This window comes from Homo sapiens, chromosome 2 (genome assembly GCF_000001405.40).
Source record: "Homo sapiens chromosome 2, GRCh38.p14 Primary Assembly".
Lineage (NCBI taxonomy): Eukaryota > Metazoa > Chordata > Mammalia > Primates > Hominidae > Homo > Homo sapiens.
Window position 1 is genome coordinate 3,547,543 of NC_000002.12, and position 19,957 is coordinate 3,567,499.

Consider the following 19,957-nt stretch of genomic DNA (forward strand, 5'->3'; position numbering starts at 1 on the left):
AGTGGCGCGATCTCAGCTCACTGCAACTTCCGCCTCCTGGGTTCAAGTGATTCTCCTGCCTCAGCCTCCTGAGTAGCTGGGACTACAGGCACACACCACCATGCCCGGCTAATTTTTGTATTTTTTAATAAAGATGGGGTTTCACCATACTGGCCAGGCTGGTCTTGAACTCCTGACCTCGTGATCCACCCACCTCAGCCTCCCAAAGTGCTGGGATTATAGGCGTGAGCCACTACGCCCAGCCTCAAATACGTTGTAATATACATTATGATATTAATATCATGGAAATTGTTATGTCATTAAACCACTTACATAAACCATTAATCTCTAGTAAACTTAGCTTATTTGGTCATAATGGCCATAGGACATGAACATTTAAGATACTCACCCACTGAATGTCCATCCCCTGGGTAAGCCTCTCCAGTGCCACAAAGTCCTCTTTGTTGATCACCTCTTTCCCTGCACTTGTCTTCCACCCATTTTTCTTCCAACCTTGAACCCAGTTAGTTATACCTACAAAAATGCACGATCACTGGTGAGTCAATCTTGAGTGTCCTGCCTTTTTCACCTCCTTAGTCTTACCTCTTATAATTGATCCCACTTGTATTCTGAGTCACCATCCTTGACTCTTCACTTCCTTAGCTGGCCTTAGTTGCTTTGGCCTTTGGCACAGCCTGAAATACCCTCCTCTCTTCCCTTTCCCCTAACTTGTATTCTACCTACAGCTGTCAGCTTAAGATGTCATTTCTCCCAGGAGCCTTCCCCAGCCTCGTAAGCATCCCCTACATGCTCCTATTCAGGGCATTTCCCAAAGAAGCAGTCAACACGCCATCTTAAGTGACTTATACACACACAGACTAGAAGTAAGAGCCACTTCCACTTCTGACTGCATCTCCAGTGCCTGGCAAAGAAATAAGCATGTGGAAAACATCAGAGCAGCAGAAGGGAGACTCCAAAATCCTCACTCTTTGCTCGGTACCTGACAAACCAATGTCATCCCCCCGTTCCCATTTGGGTCCTGCCCTGTTACAACACCTCCTACCAATTTCCCTTCACAGTTACTGGAAAAACAGAAGAAATCAAATGTGAAAGCTTACCATTTATCGTAAACATACTGTCTGTATACAGAACCAGTTTATTGATGTTTTGAGTCTTTGCTTGTTCAATGGCTTTGCAGGCTGCCTTGAAAAGACAAGTCGATAGTCATGCTACAGAAAATGTTCAACTCTGACATTACTAAAGTTCAAAAGTACTTCGAAATTGAAACATCCCCTCTGTACTGATTATATTCTCTGTATGAAACACTACTATACATACAATTCTCCTGTGTAGACATCTATTTGAAATAAGTTTTTAGAATTTTTCTACAAAATTCCTATTTTTCAAAATTGTTATTAAACCCGTCTCTCTTCAAATATCTTATATGTATAGGTAGAAAAAAAAAGAATTAGTTTATTTGATAATTTCATACTCAATGCTCAAAAAAGAGAGGCTTAAACGTATCTGATAACTTACATGAATTTCCGCTCTTTGGTTTGTCTGCCGCCCAGGAAGTCTAATGCCTACATTTCTGTTTCAAAACAGTACAAAAGAAAATAAAAGTATAAAGTGAATTCTCAAAGTGATTCTTCTTAATGGATAACGATAAACTAGTGTGTATTCTTATTTGAAATATAAAAGCATCATATAAAAATCAAACTAACAGACTCCCAGCAGAGAGCAGCACACAGGTTTCCACACTTGGGCACCTTCTGACTCTCATGGGTTCCACTAGGGCAAAGGAAGTAAAAGCTGGTTCTCTGCGGACCCTGGGTTAGGCCCTATGGCTGCAGCAGAAAGAATCCCAGGAGAAAACTCGGGAAGAAGAATGGAGAGAGTGAGACTTCAGATTGAAACTACTAAAAACCTCCAGGAAGTAAAAGAGGAAAATGAAATCAAGGAACCAGAAAAACCCTTAGACAAGTTATTTAAAATTTGGGGTCACCAGGAGATCCAGAGTTTCCTAAAAGAATGAGCAATTTTTGGGCCAGGGGTGGTGGCTCACACCTGTGATCTCGGCACTTTGGGAGGACAAGGTGGGAGGATCGCATGAGCCCAGAAATTTGAGCCCAGCCTGGGCAACATAGTGAGACTTCATCTCTACTGAAAAAAGGACTCCTCTTGGGAGGCCGAGGTGGGCGGATCACGAGGTCAGAAGATCGAGACCATCCTGGCTAACACGGTGAAACCCCGTCTCTACTAAAAATACAAAAAATTAGCTGGGCCTGGTGGCAGGTGCCTGTAGTCCCAGCTACTCGGGAGGGTGAGGAAGGAGAATGGCGTGAACCTGGGAAGTGGAGCTTGCAGTGAGCCGAGATCGCGCCACTGCACTCTAGCCTGGGCGATAGAGTGAGACTCCGTCTCAGGAAAAAAAAAAAAAAAGACTCCTCCCCAGGGCAAGAAAGAAACACCAAAGCCAGGTGCAGTGGCTCACACCCATAATCCCAACAGTTTGGGAGGCCAAGGTGGGAGGATCGCTTGAGCCCAGAAGGTGAAGTCTGCAGTGAGCTGTGTTTGTGCCACTGTACTCCATCCTGGGCAACAGTGTGAGACCGTGTCTTAAAAAAAAAAAAAAAAAAAAAAAAAGCAAAGGAAGTAAAGCTGAGGTACCTCACGTTCTGAAAAGCAATGCCGCTTAGCCCCAACACGAACCAAAGCTGCTCCTCTGCCACCCCTGCCAGAGCTACTTATCTGCAGGTTTTCCCAATAATCAAACAATGAGCAGATCCCGCCTCATCTTTTCACAAGTTGTGGAACATGATTCAGTAAAACTCAGCTTCGTTTAACTTACAAAGGATGGCCTGGCCCCCAGTAAACGCCGATTCCTGCTCGCGGCCTTCTACGCCCATTACTGGAGCAGCAGCCATCAGTGTAGACGACGACGAAGTCTCCTGTGGGAAAAGGAAGTACATGCTGCTGGGCTGACCTTACTAAAAACTGAAATTCACCTCAAAAATCCACTAGGTCGACTTAGCATTTTAAACCGAGAGGGTATTTTACAACGCTGCAGACGTTTTCTCTCTAGGAAAACATGCTCCATTCCTTACAAGGGGGCACCTAACATTTATGCTTGGAATCCACTTACATTTTGATCTTGCAGGCCAGGCAAGTTCGGGGTGAAGGCAATCACCTTGTAAAACTAGAGCCTGCTGCAGTAAAAACTACTGTTCACATCCCACACTGTGGGTTCAGAGGACAATGGCGCTGTCTCCACGGCAGGGTCACCTTCACTCCCAGGGAGCCATCCTCCAGAGACGAGCAGCGCCTCAGCATGACGGTGACCCTGCCTGCCAGAGGGCCCAGTCTCCTGACCAGTGCTGGTCTAATTTCTTCCCTGGCATATTTGCTGCTAGTTAAGTGTGGTTCCCGTCTTTGCTTCTTTCCCTCTAGATAGAGGGTATGATTGACACACAAAGGCTGTAAAGAACAAGGTAAAAAAGGACTGACGGGGGCATTCTCAGGCCACTGGTGACCAGGACACTTCAGTAGTGTGGTGGGATCAGAGGTCAGGTTGCACAGTGTTAAAAGAGCTGGGCGAGAGGGCAAATAGAGGTGGTACGCGCAGGAAGTGGAAGTACTTGTCCGAAGGACGGCAGACTGAGCTCAGCAGTGGCGAAGGGGCAAAGATGGGGATGTGCTCCTCACAGGAGCGGGGCTGAGAGCCAAGGGGAGTGTGGGTGTTGGGCAGGGCTCCTCCGTTCAGCTGGAACTTAACTGTATCAGCATGACTACAAGCTTCCCACCCAGCCACTGAACTGTCTCAGGAGCCAGCACCTGCTATCCGCCATGTTCCAGGCCACCAAGCCTCCAGCAATGGTCAGTGTCTGGAAACGGCTCATCTCCCTGCAACTCCACAAATCTTTGCTTCAATTCCTACTAGTAAATCACCAAATAAAGAATACTTGTTTGATCTTTTTTTACGTAACTGCAAAACATATCTATAAATAATACAGCTTGGCAAAACATTTTCTACTGGTTTCCCTTGAATTAAATTAGAACCTATAAATATACTGATTTATATTTTTTAATGCTTATTTCTACTTTCTGCTCATATGTGTAAAAGACACAAAGGAGAATTCTATTCTGTGAGTCACTAAATACATAACTGATTCCTGGAGTGAAAGGTAGCAGAAAAGTTCACTACTACCTTGCTTCTCAGGATAAAATAGAATCTCTTGTTTTCCAAAGATTGAATATGAAAGGTTAAAATGCTGGTGCTAATCAATTATAACAAGCAGCTGCGTGTGAGGTGTTATTTGAAAAAGCTGGAGTCTTCGCATTTCATCTTAACGTTAAGTACTGCATGCACAGGGAATACTAGTATTTCAAAAGATTACAGTTGTTCATTTACATGTAAGGGTTTTCCTAAGAACATCCAAAAGTTTAATTCTGCACTACTTGATTATAAATAATGGCCTTAGTGATTTCTAAATAATCTTTACACATAAGAATGAAGATGATAAACACCAGCTCAAACTCCCCCCATCAAGTGGGAAACACCTTTTACACATAACATTTTCCTGACTGTGGTATTAAAATCTGAAAACCCAAGGAAGATGTACCCATGTAGGAAAACGTGTCTCTGCTAACTGGAGGCGCCGGCTCCACGCTCGGCTTCATGTGCTTTGCATACGGCTCTGCGCTTTCATGTCCATCTCCATCCAGTGGCTCACGGAGTCGCTTGCTGGCTTTCGCCTCCGATTCTTGTCCATGTTGATTTTCATGCCCTGAAAGACAAGAGTCCACTCGTGAGCTGGAAACAATGAACATAACACGAAATGCTAGAGAATGAAGACATTCAGTAAATTATTTAGTATCATTAAATCAGACTTAAAAACACCCTCTCTATGTGGCCCTACAACGAGGGAAACGAGGGAATGACCCCCTCCACGCCATCTCCACCCCCTCCACGCCATCTCCACCCCCTCCACACCACCTCCACCCCCTCCACACCACCTCCACCCCCTCCCCTCCACACCACCACCACCCCCTCCCCTCCACACCACCACCACCCCCTCCCCTCCACACCACCTCCACCCCCTCCACAGCATCTCAATCCCCTCCACAGCATCTCAAGGGGCTCTTTCTCCAGGAAAAACATGGCCCAAAATTGTGTATATAACATCAGTGGTGTTGCTGGGCGCAGTGGTGTGTGCCTATAGTTCCAGCTACTCGGGAGGCTGACATACGAGTATCGCTTGAGCCCGGGTTTGAATCCAACCCGGCCAACATAGTGAGACCCCTTTGCTTAAAAATAGATAAATCTAAAAAAAGATGAGTTGTGTCCATGGTTCAGCCTCTCCCTGCCTCAAATACAACTACATGGACACGAAGTTAAGAACCCCTAGGAGGGCTCAGAGGGTGCAGGTTCATCTAGCTTGAATAAACAGATAATGGGACATATTAAGAAAGGAAAACAGGGCTGGGAAGCCGAGGCGGGCAGATCATTTGAGCTCAGGAGTTCAAGACCAGCCTGGTCAACATGGTGAAACCCTGTCTCTACTAAAAATACAAAAATTAGCCAGGCGTGATGGCGGGCACCTGTAATCCCAGCTACTCAGGAGGCTGAGGCAGGAGAATGGTGTGAACCCAGGAGGTGGAGCTTACAGTGAGCGGAGATCGCGCCACTGCACTCCAGCCTGGGCGAGAGAGTGAGACTCTGTCTCAAAAAAAAAAAGGAAACAGAAACCAGAAACTAAAAGGAAGCAACTGGGTCCCTTCAGGGTCAGTACTCTTGCAGCTTTTCTTTTGCAACAAAGTTTTTCTTCTGCAACGAAGTTTTTCTTCAGGGGGACCTCAAGGTTAATCCCAAATAGTTTTTTTTTTTTGAGACAGAGTCTTGCTCTGTGCCCAAGCTGGAGTACAGTGGCGCGATCGTGGCTCACTGCAACTTCCACCTCCCTGGTTCAAGCAGTTCTCTGCCACAGCCTCCCAAGTAGCTGGGATTACAGGCACCCACCACCACACCCAGCTAATTTTTTTGTATTTTTAGTAGAGATGGGGGTTTCACCATTTTGGCCAGGCTGGTCTTGAACTCCTGACCTTGTGATCCACTGCCCTGACCTCCCACAGTGCTGGGATTACAGGCGTGAGCCGCTGCGCCCGGCCCCAAAGAGATTCTTAATACCACCTCAGGGTTATCTGGGAAGGGCCCATATCTCACTCACTGGGTAATACTATGGCAGCTGAAGTAGAACAGCTAAATTAGACCAGGACTCAAAAAACCAGTTTCAATTTGTGCTATACCTTTTATCAGCTGCGAACTCCGTCAACTGAATTAAACCCTCTGGGCTTCTGTAAAACGAGGCCCTGGGCTAGATGATCTCAAACGACTTTTCCTTACATGGAGTGAAAATAAGGACACAGGAGCAACCAACTACCTGCAAACTAACAACCCTAACCCAACACTACAGGATTCACCTCCAGCTCTCAACTCCTAAACCAGGGATGGAGAAATGGGGCACGAACATCACAGAACGCCTACTAGAAAGGAACAAGAAAATGTCCAGCCTAGTGGAGCTTCTCAACCCACACCTCTCGGAACCCTAAGGGCGCCGGGCAACACTTGACTGTGATCAGCACGACGTCAGCAACAGCTGGCGTTTCCACTGCCACATTTTGTTTTCACACACTCATCTCCAAAACGTTCCTCTAGGTACTCTACTGAAGTAAATGCAGATACTGTGGTCCAGGTTAAAGTGTCATTTTGTAGAACCTTAACACGGATATAAACACTGGTTTTACTTACTATAACAGAGATGGACACTTTACAGAACAGATAAGACTTGGAGGAAAAAAACACACTTGTCAGTTAAGTTTTACTTCACAAAATTGTGGTTTTTAAGTAAATTAACCTTAAATCAGCTTATATAAACCATAAGAACCAGTAAATAGCTCAATAATTCTAAAATAAGGATAAATGTAATGTTAAAAAACAAAAAACTGTAAAAGGGGCTAAGACTTTTTGATACAGATCTGAATCATTAAAGGCACTAAATCTCAATTTATAGACGTAAGTCACTGACTAGGAGGTCTCTAAAGTTTAAAGAAGTAGATTCAAAAGAACTAGCTTGCTTTAAGAGTCAGAGTACTTAATAAAAACAGAAACATACTTATATTGGAAGACTTGAGATACAAATAAATTACTGATTGGTTAAAAACAAAAAATTTGTGAAAAGGAAAACTGAAAAGGAAAATTAAGAAAAGGAAGTATCAGGAACCCAGCAAAGAAGGAAAAAGCCATATTTTCAAACCTGCTTTCTGTCTCAAACTGATTTTTCCATCTGGGTAGAAAAATGAACAGCTGTAACAGCGAGGAGGCGGCTCAGCATTACTGCCTCCATTCTCCCTTAACATCCCCATAGTGGTATCGTATAGGCCGAGTGAACTATGGGAAGAATTTATAGTTTAAAGCAAGGATGACAGTGGTCCGTTCCCAAAACTAACCCCCAAGGAGATAAAGAGGGAGTACACACAAATAACAATGTTATGTTGAAGACTTATAGGAGGAGCATCATGGCCTGACCAAGGACAGAGAAGTTTCACAATCCCCTTGGACCCTCGCTGCCATCCAGATGTCTGTGCTCATCGGTCTCCTCCTGATCTCACCTCCGCCTTTCTTTCCCCTTCCCTTAACATAAAAGAAGTCTCAAGTTCTATTAACTTAAGATGGTTCTTCAGGACACTAGTCCACCATCTTCTTGACTTGCTGGCTCTCGGAAAAAAGTCGCCTTCCTTGCCCCAACACCTTGTCTCTCAGCTTATTGGCTGTCATGCAGTAAGCAGTAAGAACTGTCACATCGATGAGCCTTTTTCACGTGTCCTCATTCTCAAACAGAATCTCCTTTAAAAGCTATTGAAGAGAGAGAGGGTGAAGCAGATGCACTGAGTGAGGGTCGACCCTGCTTTGCAAACTAACTCTTCAGGGATCCATTCTGGACACAACCTGCCTCGCTCTGAATTGTGCTTTGTCCAGGATTGTTACGATGATTCGAAGGAGCAGTTGTTCAGGTTCAAGCATCTCAGTGGCCTCTAGAGAGGCTGTTCAAGATAAGGTAATTAAAACTATGCTCTGCTCAGTCTTAATTTGCTATAGTAAAAAGTTTGTAAGTAACATTCACGTAAGATCACCTCCTCAGTGTAGATCCAGAAATATTTTTAAAATCTTGCGCTCTAAAGTCGTCACCCTGCTCATCTGAGTCTGCATAATGGGCTTTAAACTTCCAATTATATTGGGAATTAATCTTATATTGGGCTTTAAACTTTGAATAACCGTACTTTCTATAACACATAAAATTGGAAGAAATTGGACAGGCGTGGTGGCTCATGCCTGGAATCCTAACACTTTGGGAGGCCAAAGCAGGTGAATCATTTGAGGTCAGGTGTTTAAGACCAGCCTGGCCAATATGGTGAAATCCCATCTCTACTAAAAAAAATACAAAAATTAGCCGGGCGTGGTGGCACGCACCTGTAATCCCAGCTACTCCGGAAGCTGAAGCAGGAGAATCGCTTGAACGCAGGAGGCAGAGACTGCAGTGAGCCAAGATTGTGCCACTGCACTCCAGCCTGCGCAACAGAGACTCTGTCTCAAGGAAAAAAAAAAAGAAGAAATTCAGATTGTGTGACTCTGTTCTCAATAAAAAGGCAACACCACAAAGGGGCATGCCATGGAAAGAACCACACTCATTCCTGTAAACTGTAGCCCATCCAGTCCAATAACTATGTAAGTTTTTTTTTTTTTTTTTTGACGAGTCTTGCCCTGTCACCCAGGCTGGAGTGCAGTGGTGCAATCTCGGCTCACTGTAGCCTCCACTTCTCGGGCTCAAGCAATTCTCCCACCTCAGCCTCCCGAGTAGCTGGGATTACAGGTGTGCGCCACCATGCCCAGCTAATTTTTGTATTTTAGTAGAGATGGAGTTTCATCATGTTGGCCAGGCTGGACAAGTATTTTTTTAAAAAAAGACAAGGAATTATGGCATAAAAGGCTGAATGGAACAGGAGAGCTGAGTCCTGGCTTATCCCTAATACTGTAAGTAATATGAACCACTATTTGTAACTGCTTTCAGTCTGTTCCCTAATTTGTAAAATGAAAACAATCACACGAGGTTCCCTACATGCCTAGAGGGTAGCTATATAGATCAAATGCCATCTGGCATATGAAAGCCTTTGAATAGGTTAAAATGTCACACTGATATGAGAGGTGACTACCTTCTGAAACTTCCGGGCTTGCAGATTTCCTGACAAAGGCCCAGGCCTCATCCTCTGTGGCAAACTTCTTAAATCTGGCAGCAGGAAACCGGTCCACCTGTGCTCTGCACTCATTCCTGGAAAAGATGTGCAATGTTATTTCCTTCTTCCTTCTCTAACTTATCCCCTTTTTTATTGAGATTCTTAAGGTTGGAAATACAGTTGTCCCTTGGTATCTGAGGGAGACTGATTCCAGGAAGTCCTCCACCCCATCACAGATACCAACATCAGAGGATGCTTAAGTCCTTTGCATAAAATGGTGTATTTGCAAATAACCCACACACATCTTCTTGCATGCTTTAAATCATCTCTAGTTTATAATACCTAATACAATCTATATAGTTGTATTGTCTTTTTATGCGTATTTTAAAACTGTATTCTATTTTAATTTTTTCCAAATATTTTTGATCTATGGTTAGCTGAAACTGAGGATGCAAACTGGATATAGAGGACCAATTTTTGCGTGAAAAGGGCAGAGTCGCACCTTATAGTTTTATCCTGCACGTCAGACTCTACACCTGTGTTCTACTGTATGCCAGCCAGCCAGCACACCAGCACCATAAGGCTTTCGTCAAACTCAAAGCATAACAAAATACTGCGGTCTTTGAAAAAAATATTAACCATTTCTTTACAACAAAAAGGTCAACTTCTGAGATGCTTCTTCCTCAATACTGTAGCTGCCGTGCATGGGGAAACACAGGTAACGAACTTTGGTATCTTGTAGTGGGAAGAGTTCTGGTGGTACAGTCAGAACAGCTGGGCTCAAGTCCTTTCTCTGTCAGTTACATGCCCTGGGAACTTCCTGACCCCAAGAACTATACCTGAAAGTGAGAATAATCCCTCTCACCTCCAAGGGTTGTTACAAGGATCCAACTGCAAATACTGGCTTATTAGAATTTGCCTTTTTTAAAAGGGAAGATTAGGTACTGAGTTCCAATCCCAATTTAGCTGGTACGGAAAGTCTTCTGGTAACGGGGGTTCGTTCTGATTACGTGTCACTTTTTGTTGCACTTTAACTGCAACAAAGATGGAGGATTAAACACAGGGTTTATTAGGCCACCCCTAACCTTTACGCGACGTTTCTGATATTTCAAACAAGTCTTCGGTGCGTTCCAGTCCCAGGCCATGAGCCTCCTGGAACCCCGCCGGCCGAGCAGGAAAACGAGGCGGTCCCCCGACCACCCACAGCCACAGCGCGCGGCACAGACTCGGACCGCCAGGCTCCCGCCGCCGGGGTTAGCCGGGCTCCGGCCTCCCTCGACCCCGATGCCGGCAGGGAGGCGCCTCGGCGGGCGGGCCACTCACCAGGTCAGAAAGACCCCGGTCTTGCGGCCCCTCCTCACGGCATAGAACATCCCGAACCCGCGAGAGCCGCGGCGGCAGGGCAAGGCGGCCAAGGCGACTCTGTGGGCCAGGAACAGAAGCCAGCTCATCGCTCACTCCCGGCACCGGGAAGCATTTCGACTCCCGGCCCAGCGTGGGCGCGAGCCGCCGGCGCTCAACACCGCACTTCCGTCACCGGCGCGGGAAGATGACGCACGTCTGGGCGGAGTCCTGATGAGGGCCGGGGCCTAGGGAGGGGCGGTGTCGTAGGGCGGAGCCCGGAGCTCGGCCCCTGACGAGCCCGAACTCGTCAACTTCCTGTCGGTACTTGAAGAAGCGGAGCCAGGGCTGAGATCCCGAAGGCGGGCGAGGTCTGGGATGGGGCGGGGCCTATGGGAGCGGGGCTGAAGCCCTGGGCCCGGCAGAGGAAGGTCGAGATGGACCATGTTGGGCCCCTTCTCTCCCCGCCCCCAGGCCGCAGTTCGGGGGCCACGCCCCGGCGTGCTCGGGTCACCGCGGGAAGCCCTTGAACCCCCTGGCGCCCGGCACCCACGTGCGGTAACCGCGGCTCCTCGAGAGCTCCAGGGATGCGGATCTACAGTAAGGGCTGTGGCCAGATGAATGAATGCACATTTTTTAGTGGGCAGAAAGATGTTAGAATTCATGAATTAGAATAAGCACAAAGGAGGGCGAGAGGGGAGGCCGTGGAAGCCGCATTCCTCCCCTTGCCTTGGGCGCCCACCCCCGAAGGGGCGCGTCCCCTCCCTGCTCCACTGCACGTGGGTGTTTAACCAGGGGATATCCAGTGCCTCAAGCACCACGACCCGGGAGAAAACTGAGTTGAGAAGGTAACTTTTAGAATTCTCCCCATTTGACCTTTTGCTCTGTAAGCAAATCAAGTAATTTTAAAAGTGTTCATGGGTTGGAGGGGCGTGGTGGCTTACGCCTGTAATCTCAGCACTTTGGGAGGCCAAGGCGGGTGGATCACCAGGTCAGGAGATCGAGACCATCCTGGCCAATATGATGAAACCCTGTCTCTACTAAAAATACAAAAATTAGCCGGGCGTGGTCGCCTGCGCCTGTAATCCCAGCTACTCAGGAGGCTGAAGCAGGAGAGGCGCTCGAACTCGAGAGGTGGAGGTTGCATCTGGGCGACAGAGCGTGATTCCGTCTCAAAAAAAAAAAAAAAGTCTCCATTGGCAAACATTGTTATTCGAATTATTTTTAAACCACTTTTCTTTAATTTTCTTAAGGTCTTCTAACAAGCCTTTTGCACACCTGCCATGTATTTTGTCAGGCCTTGGGGATGAAGGTGAGAAATTCGAGAATCCCCGGAGATAACACATCAGCAAATAGTGCGCAGGCAGAACAAGCTGTTGGAGGTGAGAGACACAGAGCAGAGAAGCACCCGCACCTGGAGAGTCAGGAGGGCCTCACATCAGAACGCCTGAGCAAATACAGTTTTGAAGGATACTAATTTTTTAAAAAGTTCATTCACATGAGTTAGACAAAGAGAAAGAAGCAGGACATTCTAGGAAGAAGGAACGGCCCAGGCAAAAGCGACGCGTACATTGGCGTGGTAAGTTGTGTTCCTCTGTGAAATCGAAGAACATCTTTTTTTTTTTTTTTTTTTTTTTTTAAACAGAGTCTTGCTGTGTCGCCCAGGCTGGAGTGCAGTGGCACGATGCACGATTGGGGCTCACTGCAACCTCCACCTCCCGGGTTCAAGCATTTCTCCTGCCTCAGCCTCCCAAGTAGCTGGGATTACAGGCGCCCGCCATCACGCCTGGCTAATTTTTATGTATTTTTAGTAGAAACAGAGTTTCACCATGTTGGCCCGGCTGGTTGCGAACTCCTGACCTCAAGTGATCCGCCTGCCTCAGCCTCCCAAAGTGCTAGGATTACAGGCATTAGCCACTGTGCCTGGCCAAAGAACATCAATTTTAAACATTTCAGCTTTCCTAATTTTAATTTAAATTGGCCATAGCTTTCATTCCTCATTCCTACCTATTGCACTTCAAGACGGATTCTTATTTTAAAATAAAAAGACACACACAGCTGTCCCTAAAGTCCATTTATGACTGATCATCCTACCCTTGTGTAGATATCTGAGGAAGCCCAGAGATGCCCGGGAAGGCTCTCAGGATGACCTGACAGCTGCCCCCACCTCGTCAGCATATCTGAGGGTTGACCTACCAAGGGCTTGCTTTTCTGTGCCCACTGGCTGGTCCTGTATCACAAGGACTCATCTTCCCTGAGAAGTCCTAGGTTGGAATTACCTGAGGACGCTTGCAGGATCATCCACATGACTTTCCACAGTGCCAAAACCCTCTCTCTTCCTTCTTCCTTCCTTCCTTCCTTCCTTCCTTCCTTCCTTCCTTCCTTCCTTCTTCTTTCCTTCTTTCGTCTTTTCTTCCTTTGTTCTCTTTTCTTTCTCCTTTCTTTCTTTCTTTTCTTGTTTCTTTCTTTTCTTTCCTTTTCTTCTTTCTTTATTTTCTTTTCTTTTTTTTCCGGGTCCTACTCCAACGCCCAGGCTAGAGTGCAGTGGCATGATCTTGGCTCACTGCAACCTCTGCCTCCTGGGTTCAAGCGATTCTCCTGCCTCAGCCTCCCGAGTAGCTGGGATTACAGGCATGCGCCACCACGCCCAGCTGATTTTTGTATTTTTAGAGACAAGTTTTCACCATGTTGGTGAGGCTGGTCTTGAACTCCTGACCTCAAGTGATTTGCCCACCTCGGCCTCCCAAAGTGTTGGAATTACAGGCATGAGCCACCACGCCCGGCTGCCAAAACTATTTATTTTGACTTTTCATTGACTGGTTACTCCTGAAAATCTTTTTTTATCTTAATCTCTGGCTCATAGAAATATAGGACATTTCTTATCCTGAGCAAACACTGGATCAGAAATCAGAAGATGAGTGTATATGTGGTCTCAGTCACTTAGCTCCTTTGAAACTTAATTTTCTCTACTGAAAAAAAAAAATGGGAGTGATAATTCCCACTGCAAAAGGCTTTTGTTTTGAGGATGAGATTTTAGATGAAATAATAAATGTATGCATAGCCTATTCCTGACACATGACATAAACTCAAATAAAAGTCACTATTGCCATTATCTATTATACTCTGTAAATTAGGAATAACAAAACCATTTCTGCTTATTTCTCAGGGTCCATTCAAGAATTGTGCCCACAATATACCAGGCACTTGTCCAGACCTGCATCGTCCAATGCCCACCTCGACCTCCCAAAGTGTTGGGATTAGAGGCGTGAGCCACCGCGCCCTGCCTGCATGTGGCTATTGAGATGTGCTGTATGATACACACCGGACTTTGAAGACTCAGTGTGAAAAATAAAAAGAATTTTAAGAGGGGTGGGGGTCGAGGGGAGGCAGAGCAGTAGGACAAATAGCTAATGCACGCAGGGCTTAAAACCTAGACAACAGGTTGATGGGTGCAGCAAACCACCATGACACATGTTTATCTATATAGCACCTACATGTTCTGCACTTGTATCCTGGAACTTAAAATTAGAAAAAAAAAATAATAAAAGCCAACATGGCATTCATTACTGCCAAAAAAATTAAAACACATTGTTAATTTTGTATATTGATTACAGGTTGAACTGATAATATTTTGAATATATTGGGTTAAAGAAATACATTTAAAATTAGTGGCTAGGCACAGTGGCTCATGCCTGTAACCCCAGCACTTTGGGAGGCTGAGGCGGGTGGATCACCTGAGGTCTGGAGTTCGAGATGAGCCTGGCCAACATGGTGAAACCCCATTTCTACTAAAAATACAAAAATCAGCCGGGTGTGGTGGTGAGTGCCTGTAATCCCAACTACTTGGGAGGCTGAGGCAGGAGAATCGTTTGAACCCGGGAGGTGTAGGTTACAGTGAGCCGAGATTGTCCCACTGCACTCCAGCCTGGGTGACAGAGTGAGACTCCATCTTAATAATAATAATAAAACTATTTCTTGCTGTTTTACTTTTCTAATGTGACCACCAGAAAAGTTTAGATGGCTTGTGTGACTCTCATCATTGAACGGAGCTGTTCTAAACATGGGTAAGACAACGCAGAGCTTCGGTTGCAGGACAGAGAATGAAATAATAGACCCATAAGACAGATAAGTGACTGATTGTGACTGCTAGGGTGTTTACAGCATAGGCCGGTGACAGGAACGAGGAGTGTGGGGATGAGAGCCGACGTGGGCGAGAGTGCATGCAATGCAGGGTCAGACGTTGGATTCATCTCTCAGGAGTTGAAAAAGGTGGCGTTCCTGTTCTTTATTGGCATTGCTTGTGACACGAGGATTGCCCCTCTTCCTGAAGAGGTTGGTCAGGAAAATTTTTTGTTAACTTTTATTTTAGGTTTGAGGGTCCATGTGCAGGTTTGTTTCATGAGTAAACTCATGTCATGGGGGATGGGTGTACAGATAATTTCATCACTGAGGAATAAGCCTAGTACCCGATGGGTATTTTTTCGGATCTTCTCCCTCCTCCCATCCTCCACCCTCAGGTAGGCCCCGTTGCCCACCGTTCCCCTCCTAATATCCCTGTGTTCTCGCTGTGGAGCTCCCACTTATAAGTGAGAACACGCGGTGTTTGGTTTTCTGTTTCTGCCTTAGCTTGCCTCCACCTCTATCCATAGTGCTGCAAAGGACATGATCTCGTTCCTTTTTTATGGCTTCATGGTATTCCACGATGTAAATGTACCACATTTGCTTTGTCAAGTCTACTGTGGATGGGCATTTATGTTGATTCCACATCTTTGCTATCATGAATAGTGTTGTGGTGAACATACACCTGCATGTGTCTTTATGGTAGAACGATTTAGATTCCTCTGGGTATATACCCAGTCATGGGATTGCTGGGTTGCATGGTAGTTCTGTTTTAAGTTCTTTGCAGAATCACTATGCTGCTTTCCGCAATGGTTGAACTAATTTGCACTCTCAATATTATATTGTCTATAGCTGAGAAAGCTGAAATGTAAAGATTAAGTCACTTGTCCTCAGACATGTAGACAGGAAGTGGTACAGCCAGGACTCAAACCTGCCTCCAGAGCCCGTCCTCCTAAACCTAAGTCATGGTTTTCAAAGTGTGGTCCTTGGATCAGCAGCAAAAGCACCACCTGGGCACTCATTAGACATGGAAATTCTGGGCCTCAACCCGGACCTCAGCATGGGAATCCCTGGGGGTGGAGCCCGGCGGTTTGTGTTTGGGCAGCCCCAGCTGACTCTGAGGCACCATCAGGTTGGAGGCCACAGTGGGTGATAGTCCCTGCCCTGTGGTAGCAGCCGGCCTCCCTCCTTCATTTCTGTTATTCCATCTCCTTCTTAAAACAACCCTGTGAGGCTGGCAGGGCAGATGTCGATTTTATTTAACAGATGAAGAAACTGACCCTTGAGGTTTTATGACTTACCCAAAGTCATCGCATTAGTTTTGGAACTGAAACTTCAATGGCAGATCTTCTGGCTGTTAGTCTGAGACTGGAACTAGTACCCACAAGGACTCTGGGAGCAGTAAGGTCAGAGCAGGAGCTACTGCTTCATTTCATTGCCTCTAGTGAAGGAGGAGGGGGGTTCCCAGAGCACGGCTTCTCCATGGGTCTAGCCCATGATAGCTGGGTGCTTACCCTGATGTGCTGATGAGATTCTGCCTTATCTCCTGCAAGCCATTTGTGCTGTGCTAGGATTAAACAGTACACTTTGGAACCTTAGCTGCCCACACCCTGAGAGCCAATCACGCAGAACCCACAGGAAATCTCGGGGCAGAAGTAGTTTGCCATAAATGTCCATTTTCTCATTTTTTGTTGTTGTGACGGGGTCTTGCTCTGTCGCCGAGGCTGGAGTGCATTGGCGCAATCATAGCGCACTGCAGCCTCAACCTCCTGGGCTCAAGTCATCTTTCCACCTCAACCTCCAAAATAGCTGGTATTACAGGTGTGCGCCTCCTGTATAATTAAAAAAAAAACATGTTTTGAGGCCGGGTGTGGCGGCTCATGCCTGTAATCCCAGCACTTTGGGAGGCCAAGGCGGGTGGATCATGAGGTCAAGAGATTGAGATCATCCTGGCCAACATGGTGAACCCCCGTCTCTACTAAAAATACAAAAAATTAGCCGGGCGTGGTGGCAGGCACTTTTAATCCCAGCTACTTGGGAGGGTGAGGCAGGAGAATCGCTTGAACCTGGGAGGTGTAGCTTGCAGTGAGCTGAGATCACACCACTGCACTCCAGCCTGGGCAAAAAGAGTGAAACTCTGTCTCAAAAAAAAAAATGTTTTGAGGTTACAGGGAGCTATGATCACACTACTGCACTCCAGTCTAGATAACAGAGCGAGACCCTGTCTCTGAAAAAAAAGAAAAAAAATTCTTTGTAGAGACAAGGTTTCACTATATTGCTCAGGCTGGAATCAAACTCCTGGCCTCAAGCAATCCTCCTGTATTGACCTCTCAAAGGGCTGGGATTACAGGCGGGAGCCACTGTGCTCAGCCTGCATTTCCTGATGCAACTCGTTCACATTCCATCCATTATCAACAATCCCCACAACTTCACCTCCTGCCATGGATGCCTGAGGCTGGGGAAGGGGAACTTCATTCGGGTGTGGGCGTCACCTTAGCCACAGAGAACCTAAAAGAGTGATCAAGCCTCACCTGAGGTTGGGAGTTCGAGACCAGCCTGACCAACATGGGGAAACCCCATCTCTACTAAAAATACAAAATTAGCCAGGTGTGGTGGCGTGTGCCTGTAATCCCAGCTACACGGGAGGCTGAGGCAGGAGAATCGCTTGAACCCGGGAGGCGGAGGTTGTGGTGAGCCGAGATCGCGCCGTTGCACTCCAGCCTGGGCAACGAGAGTGAAACTCCGTCTCGAAAAAAAAAAAAAAAGACTGATCAAGCCGACTGAAAGTCAGGGTGCTCTGTTATTATAACTGAGCACCGGGAATTCTAAACACTGTCAGTGATAAATACTCTTCCCAGAAAAAAAACTTTCTTGTAATTATATGTGTATAATTCCATTTTTATCCCTAATCTTTTAACAAACATGTCTTACATGGGAGTTAATCCCAAGGGCTCCCAGCTATGCACTTGGTTCCAACACGTCTTCGTTCAGCCACAAGAAGTTTATTTGGTTCAGAAGCAGAGTGCTAGCTTCAGGCACAGTTTGATCCAGCTGATGGGCACTGCAACCTCCTGCATGTAAACAGCAGGTTTGAAGTGAACCGTGGTAGCACTATGACTATAAAGACAAACGAGGAGAACTTGCTTTACTTCACTTCATTCCATGTGATCACTTGTGCTTAAAATTTGAATCAGTGAAACAGGGCGGTGGGAACCGCAAGCTGAAATATTTTTGTTATAGTGTGGATTTTAGCTCATATATTACACATTTTACTGAATTCAAATAATGTCTTTAAAATTGAAATTTAGCCAGGAGTGGTGGCTCACGCCTGTAATCCCAGCACTTTGGGAGGCCGAGGCGGGATTTCGAGACCAGCCTGGCCAATATGGTGAAAACCTGTCTCTGCTAACAATACAAAAATTAGCTGGGCGTGGTGGCACGGGCGTGTAGTCCCAGCTACTCAGGAGGCTGAGGCAGAAGAATCGCTAGAACCCGGGGAGCCGAGATTGGGCCACTGCACTCCAGCCTGGGCGACAGAATAAGACTCTGTCTCAAAAAAATATTAAATAAATAAATAAATAAAATACAATTGAAATTTATTTTTTTTGGCCAGGTACGTTGGCTCATGCTTTGGGAGGTCAACGGAGGAGGATTACTCGAGGCCAGGAGTTTGAGACCAGCCTGGGCAACATAGTGAGATCCTGTCTCTACAAAAAAATTTAAAAATTAGCCAAGCGTGCCTGTGGTCCCAACTTCTTGGGAGGCTGAGGTGGAGGATTGCTTAAGCCTGGGAGGCTAAGGCTGCAGTGAGCCGTGACTGCACTACTGTACTCCAGCCTGGGTGACAGAGTGAGATCTTGTCTCAGAAAAAAAAAAAAAAAAAAAGGAAAGAAATTTATTGTTTTTTAAAAGTGTAATTGTTGGGTTTTTTTTTTTTGAGATGGAGTTTCACTCTCGTCACCCAGGCTGGCGTGCAGTGGCGCGATCTCGGCTCACTGCAACCTCCACCTCCCGTGTTCAAGTGATTCTCCTGCCTCAGCCTCCCCAGTAGCTGGGATTACAAGCACACGCCACCACGCCCAGCTCATTTTCGTATTTTTAGTAGAGATGGGGTTTCGCCATGTTGGCCAGGCTGGTCTCTAACTCCTGACCTTAGGTGATCTACCTGAGGCCTCCCAAAGTGCTGGGAGTGCAGGTGTGAGCCACCATGACCTGCCAATTTTTGGTTTTGAAACCGAAGAATAATTAGGAAAATGATGATTATTCCTATTACATGATTATAATTTAAAATAGTTTTGTTGAATGGATACGGGTGCTGAAATAATGCATTCTGGGTATCAAATGGATGCTTGGAGTGGATGGATAGATTGGATACCTGGTCCCTCCAAATCTCATGTTGAAATCTGATTCCTGGTGTTGGTGGTGGAGCCTACTGGGAGTCTTGGGGTCATGTGCCTCTTGGTGCCATCCTCTTGTCCCCTCGGGAAGGAGTGAGTTCTTGCTCTGTTAGTTTTTGCCAGAGCTGATGTTGAAACGAGCCTGGCACCTCCCGCACTCCTCTCTTCCTTCCTCTCTTGCCATCTGATGCCAGCTCCCCTTCCCCTTCTGCCATGAGTGGAAGCTCCCTGAGGGCCTCACCAGAAGCAGATGCTGGCGCCATGTTTCTTGTACAGCCTGCAGAACCTTGAGCCAAATAAACCTCTTTTCTTCATAAGTTACCCAGCCTCGAGTATTCCTTTATAGCAACACAAACAGGCTCGGACAGAACGCCACTGCTGCCTCCCCAACCCCTGTGAGTCCTTCCATGTACACACCCGCCTCGGAATCTGCTCATTGTGGGAGGACTCTCCAGCTTACCCACTGAGACTGAGTAGCAGTAGACATGCCCCCTTGCGGCCCAAGGAACGACTGGTTGGTACATTACTGTGCTAATGGCACTTTAATTGCAGACTTTCAGGGACAAGAAACTTTTGTGTTTCACCCCAGTAAATGACAGGCCCTAAAGTAAACTGTGAAGGACAATGCCAGCAAAAGTTTGAGGCCTGGCGCTCTTTACAGTAAGGCTTTGTGCGGTGATCTACCCGTTCCAAACCTAAGTTTCCTCGCTGGCAAAACAGGGATAAAGTTTCTGGTGCACAAATGCCACAGAATTGCTGTGGAGGTCAAGTGGCGTAGTCCATGTGACACCCTGGAGGACTAAATGATGAAGACAAAGGTGTGTGTGCGAACC

General features: G+C 46.4%; 1 protein-coding gene and 1 long non-coding RNA gene across 16 annotated transcripts in view, besides 6 other annotated features; one reads left to right on the forward strand and one right to left on the reverse strand.

Annotated features, from left to right (window-relative positions):
• RNASEH1 (ribonuclease H1) overlaps positions 1-10,791 on the reverse strand; it is a 26,521-nt gene extending 15,730 nt beyond the window's left edge. For 5 of the 13 annotated variants that reach the window (NR_148532.2, NR_148534.2, NM_001286834.3 and 2 more), the window contains exons 1-7: positions 10,591-10,791; positions 9,247-9,362; positions 4,602-4,766; positions 2,831-2,930; positions 1,516-1,570; positions 1,098-1,182; positions 389-513 (exon numbers count right to left, since the gene is read on the reverse strand). Coding sequence is in view for 6 of the 13 variants with exons in the window: in NM_002936.6 (NP_002927.2) it covers positions 389-513; positions 1,098-1,182; positions 1,516-1,570; positions 2,831-2,930; positions 4,602-4,766; positions 9,247-9,362; positions 10,591-10,718 (774 nt within the window). In the remaining 7 variants the exon portion in view is untranslated. Of the gene's footprint in view, positions 1-388; positions 514-1,097; positions 1,183-1,515; positions 1,571-2,830; positions 2,931-4,601; positions 4,767-9,246; positions 9,363-10,132; positions 10,302-10,352 lie in introns of all 13 variants that reach the window. The other 8 variants (NR_165467.1, NR_165468.1, NR_165466.1 and 5 more) reach the window with 8 other exon arrangements.
• Positions 10,453-10,552: a silencer, noted in NCBI's record as "silent region_11114". NCBI's record gives its function as "represses an Ori minimal core promoter by ATAC-STARR-seq in GM12878 lymphoblastoid cells {active_cell/tissue: GM12878}" and the evidence as "EXISTENCE:reporter gene assay evidence [ECO:0000049][PMID:35858748]".
• Positions 10,643-10,892: an enhancer, noted in NCBI's record as "active region_15231". NCBI's record gives its function as "activates an Ori minimal core promoter by ATAC-STARR-seq in GM12878 lymphoblastoid cells {active_cell/tissue: GM12878}" and the evidence as "EXISTENCE:reporter gene assay evidence [ECO:0000049][PMID:35858748]".
• On the forward strand, positions 10,844-14,208 carry RNASEH1-DT (RNASEH1 divergent transcript). Of its 3 annotated transcripts, none has more exons than NR_038429.1 (3): positions 10,844-11,456; positions 11,906-12,187; positions 13,775-14,208. It is a non-coding gene; the product is annotated as an RNASEH1 divergent transcript (long non-coding RNA). The 3 variants fall into 3 exon arrangements; NR_038430.1 differs by having other exon boundaries at positions 10,845-11,456; positions 11,862-12,187; NR_038431.1 differs by lacking the exon at positions 11,906-12,187 and having other exon boundaries at positions 10,845-11,456.
• Positions 10,923-11,242: a silencer, noted in NCBI's record as "silent region_11115". NCBI's record gives its function as "represses an Ori minimal core promoter by ATAC-STARR-seq in GM12878 lymphoblastoid cells {active_cell/tissue: GM12878}" and the evidence as "EXISTENCE:reporter gene assay evidence [ECO:0000049][PMID:35858748]".
• Positions 12,557-13,454: an enhancer, noted in NCBI's record as "H3K27ac-H3K4me1 hESC enhancer chr2:3607689-3608586 (GRCh37/hg19 assembly coordinates)". NCBI's record gives its function as "activates a minimal SCP1, AML or CMV promoter by ChIP-STARR-seq in primed H9 embryonic stem cells {active_cell/tissue: H9 hESC(primed)}" and the evidence as "EXISTENCE:reporter gene assay evidence [ECO:0000049][PMID:30033119]".
• Positions 16,998-17,047: an enhancer, noted in NCBI's record as "active region_15232". NCBI's record gives its function as "activates an Ori minimal core promoter by ATAC-STARR-seq in GM12878 lymphoblastoid cells {active_cell/tissue: GM12878}" and the evidence as "EXISTENCE:reporter gene assay evidence [ECO:0000049][PMID:35858748]".
• Positions 17,098-17,147: an enhancer, noted in NCBI's record as "active region_15233". NCBI's record gives its function as "activates an Ori minimal core promoter by ATAC-STARR-seq in GM12878 lymphoblastoid cells {active_cell/tissue: GM12878}" and the evidence as "EXISTENCE:reporter gene assay evidence [ECO:0000049][PMID:35858748]".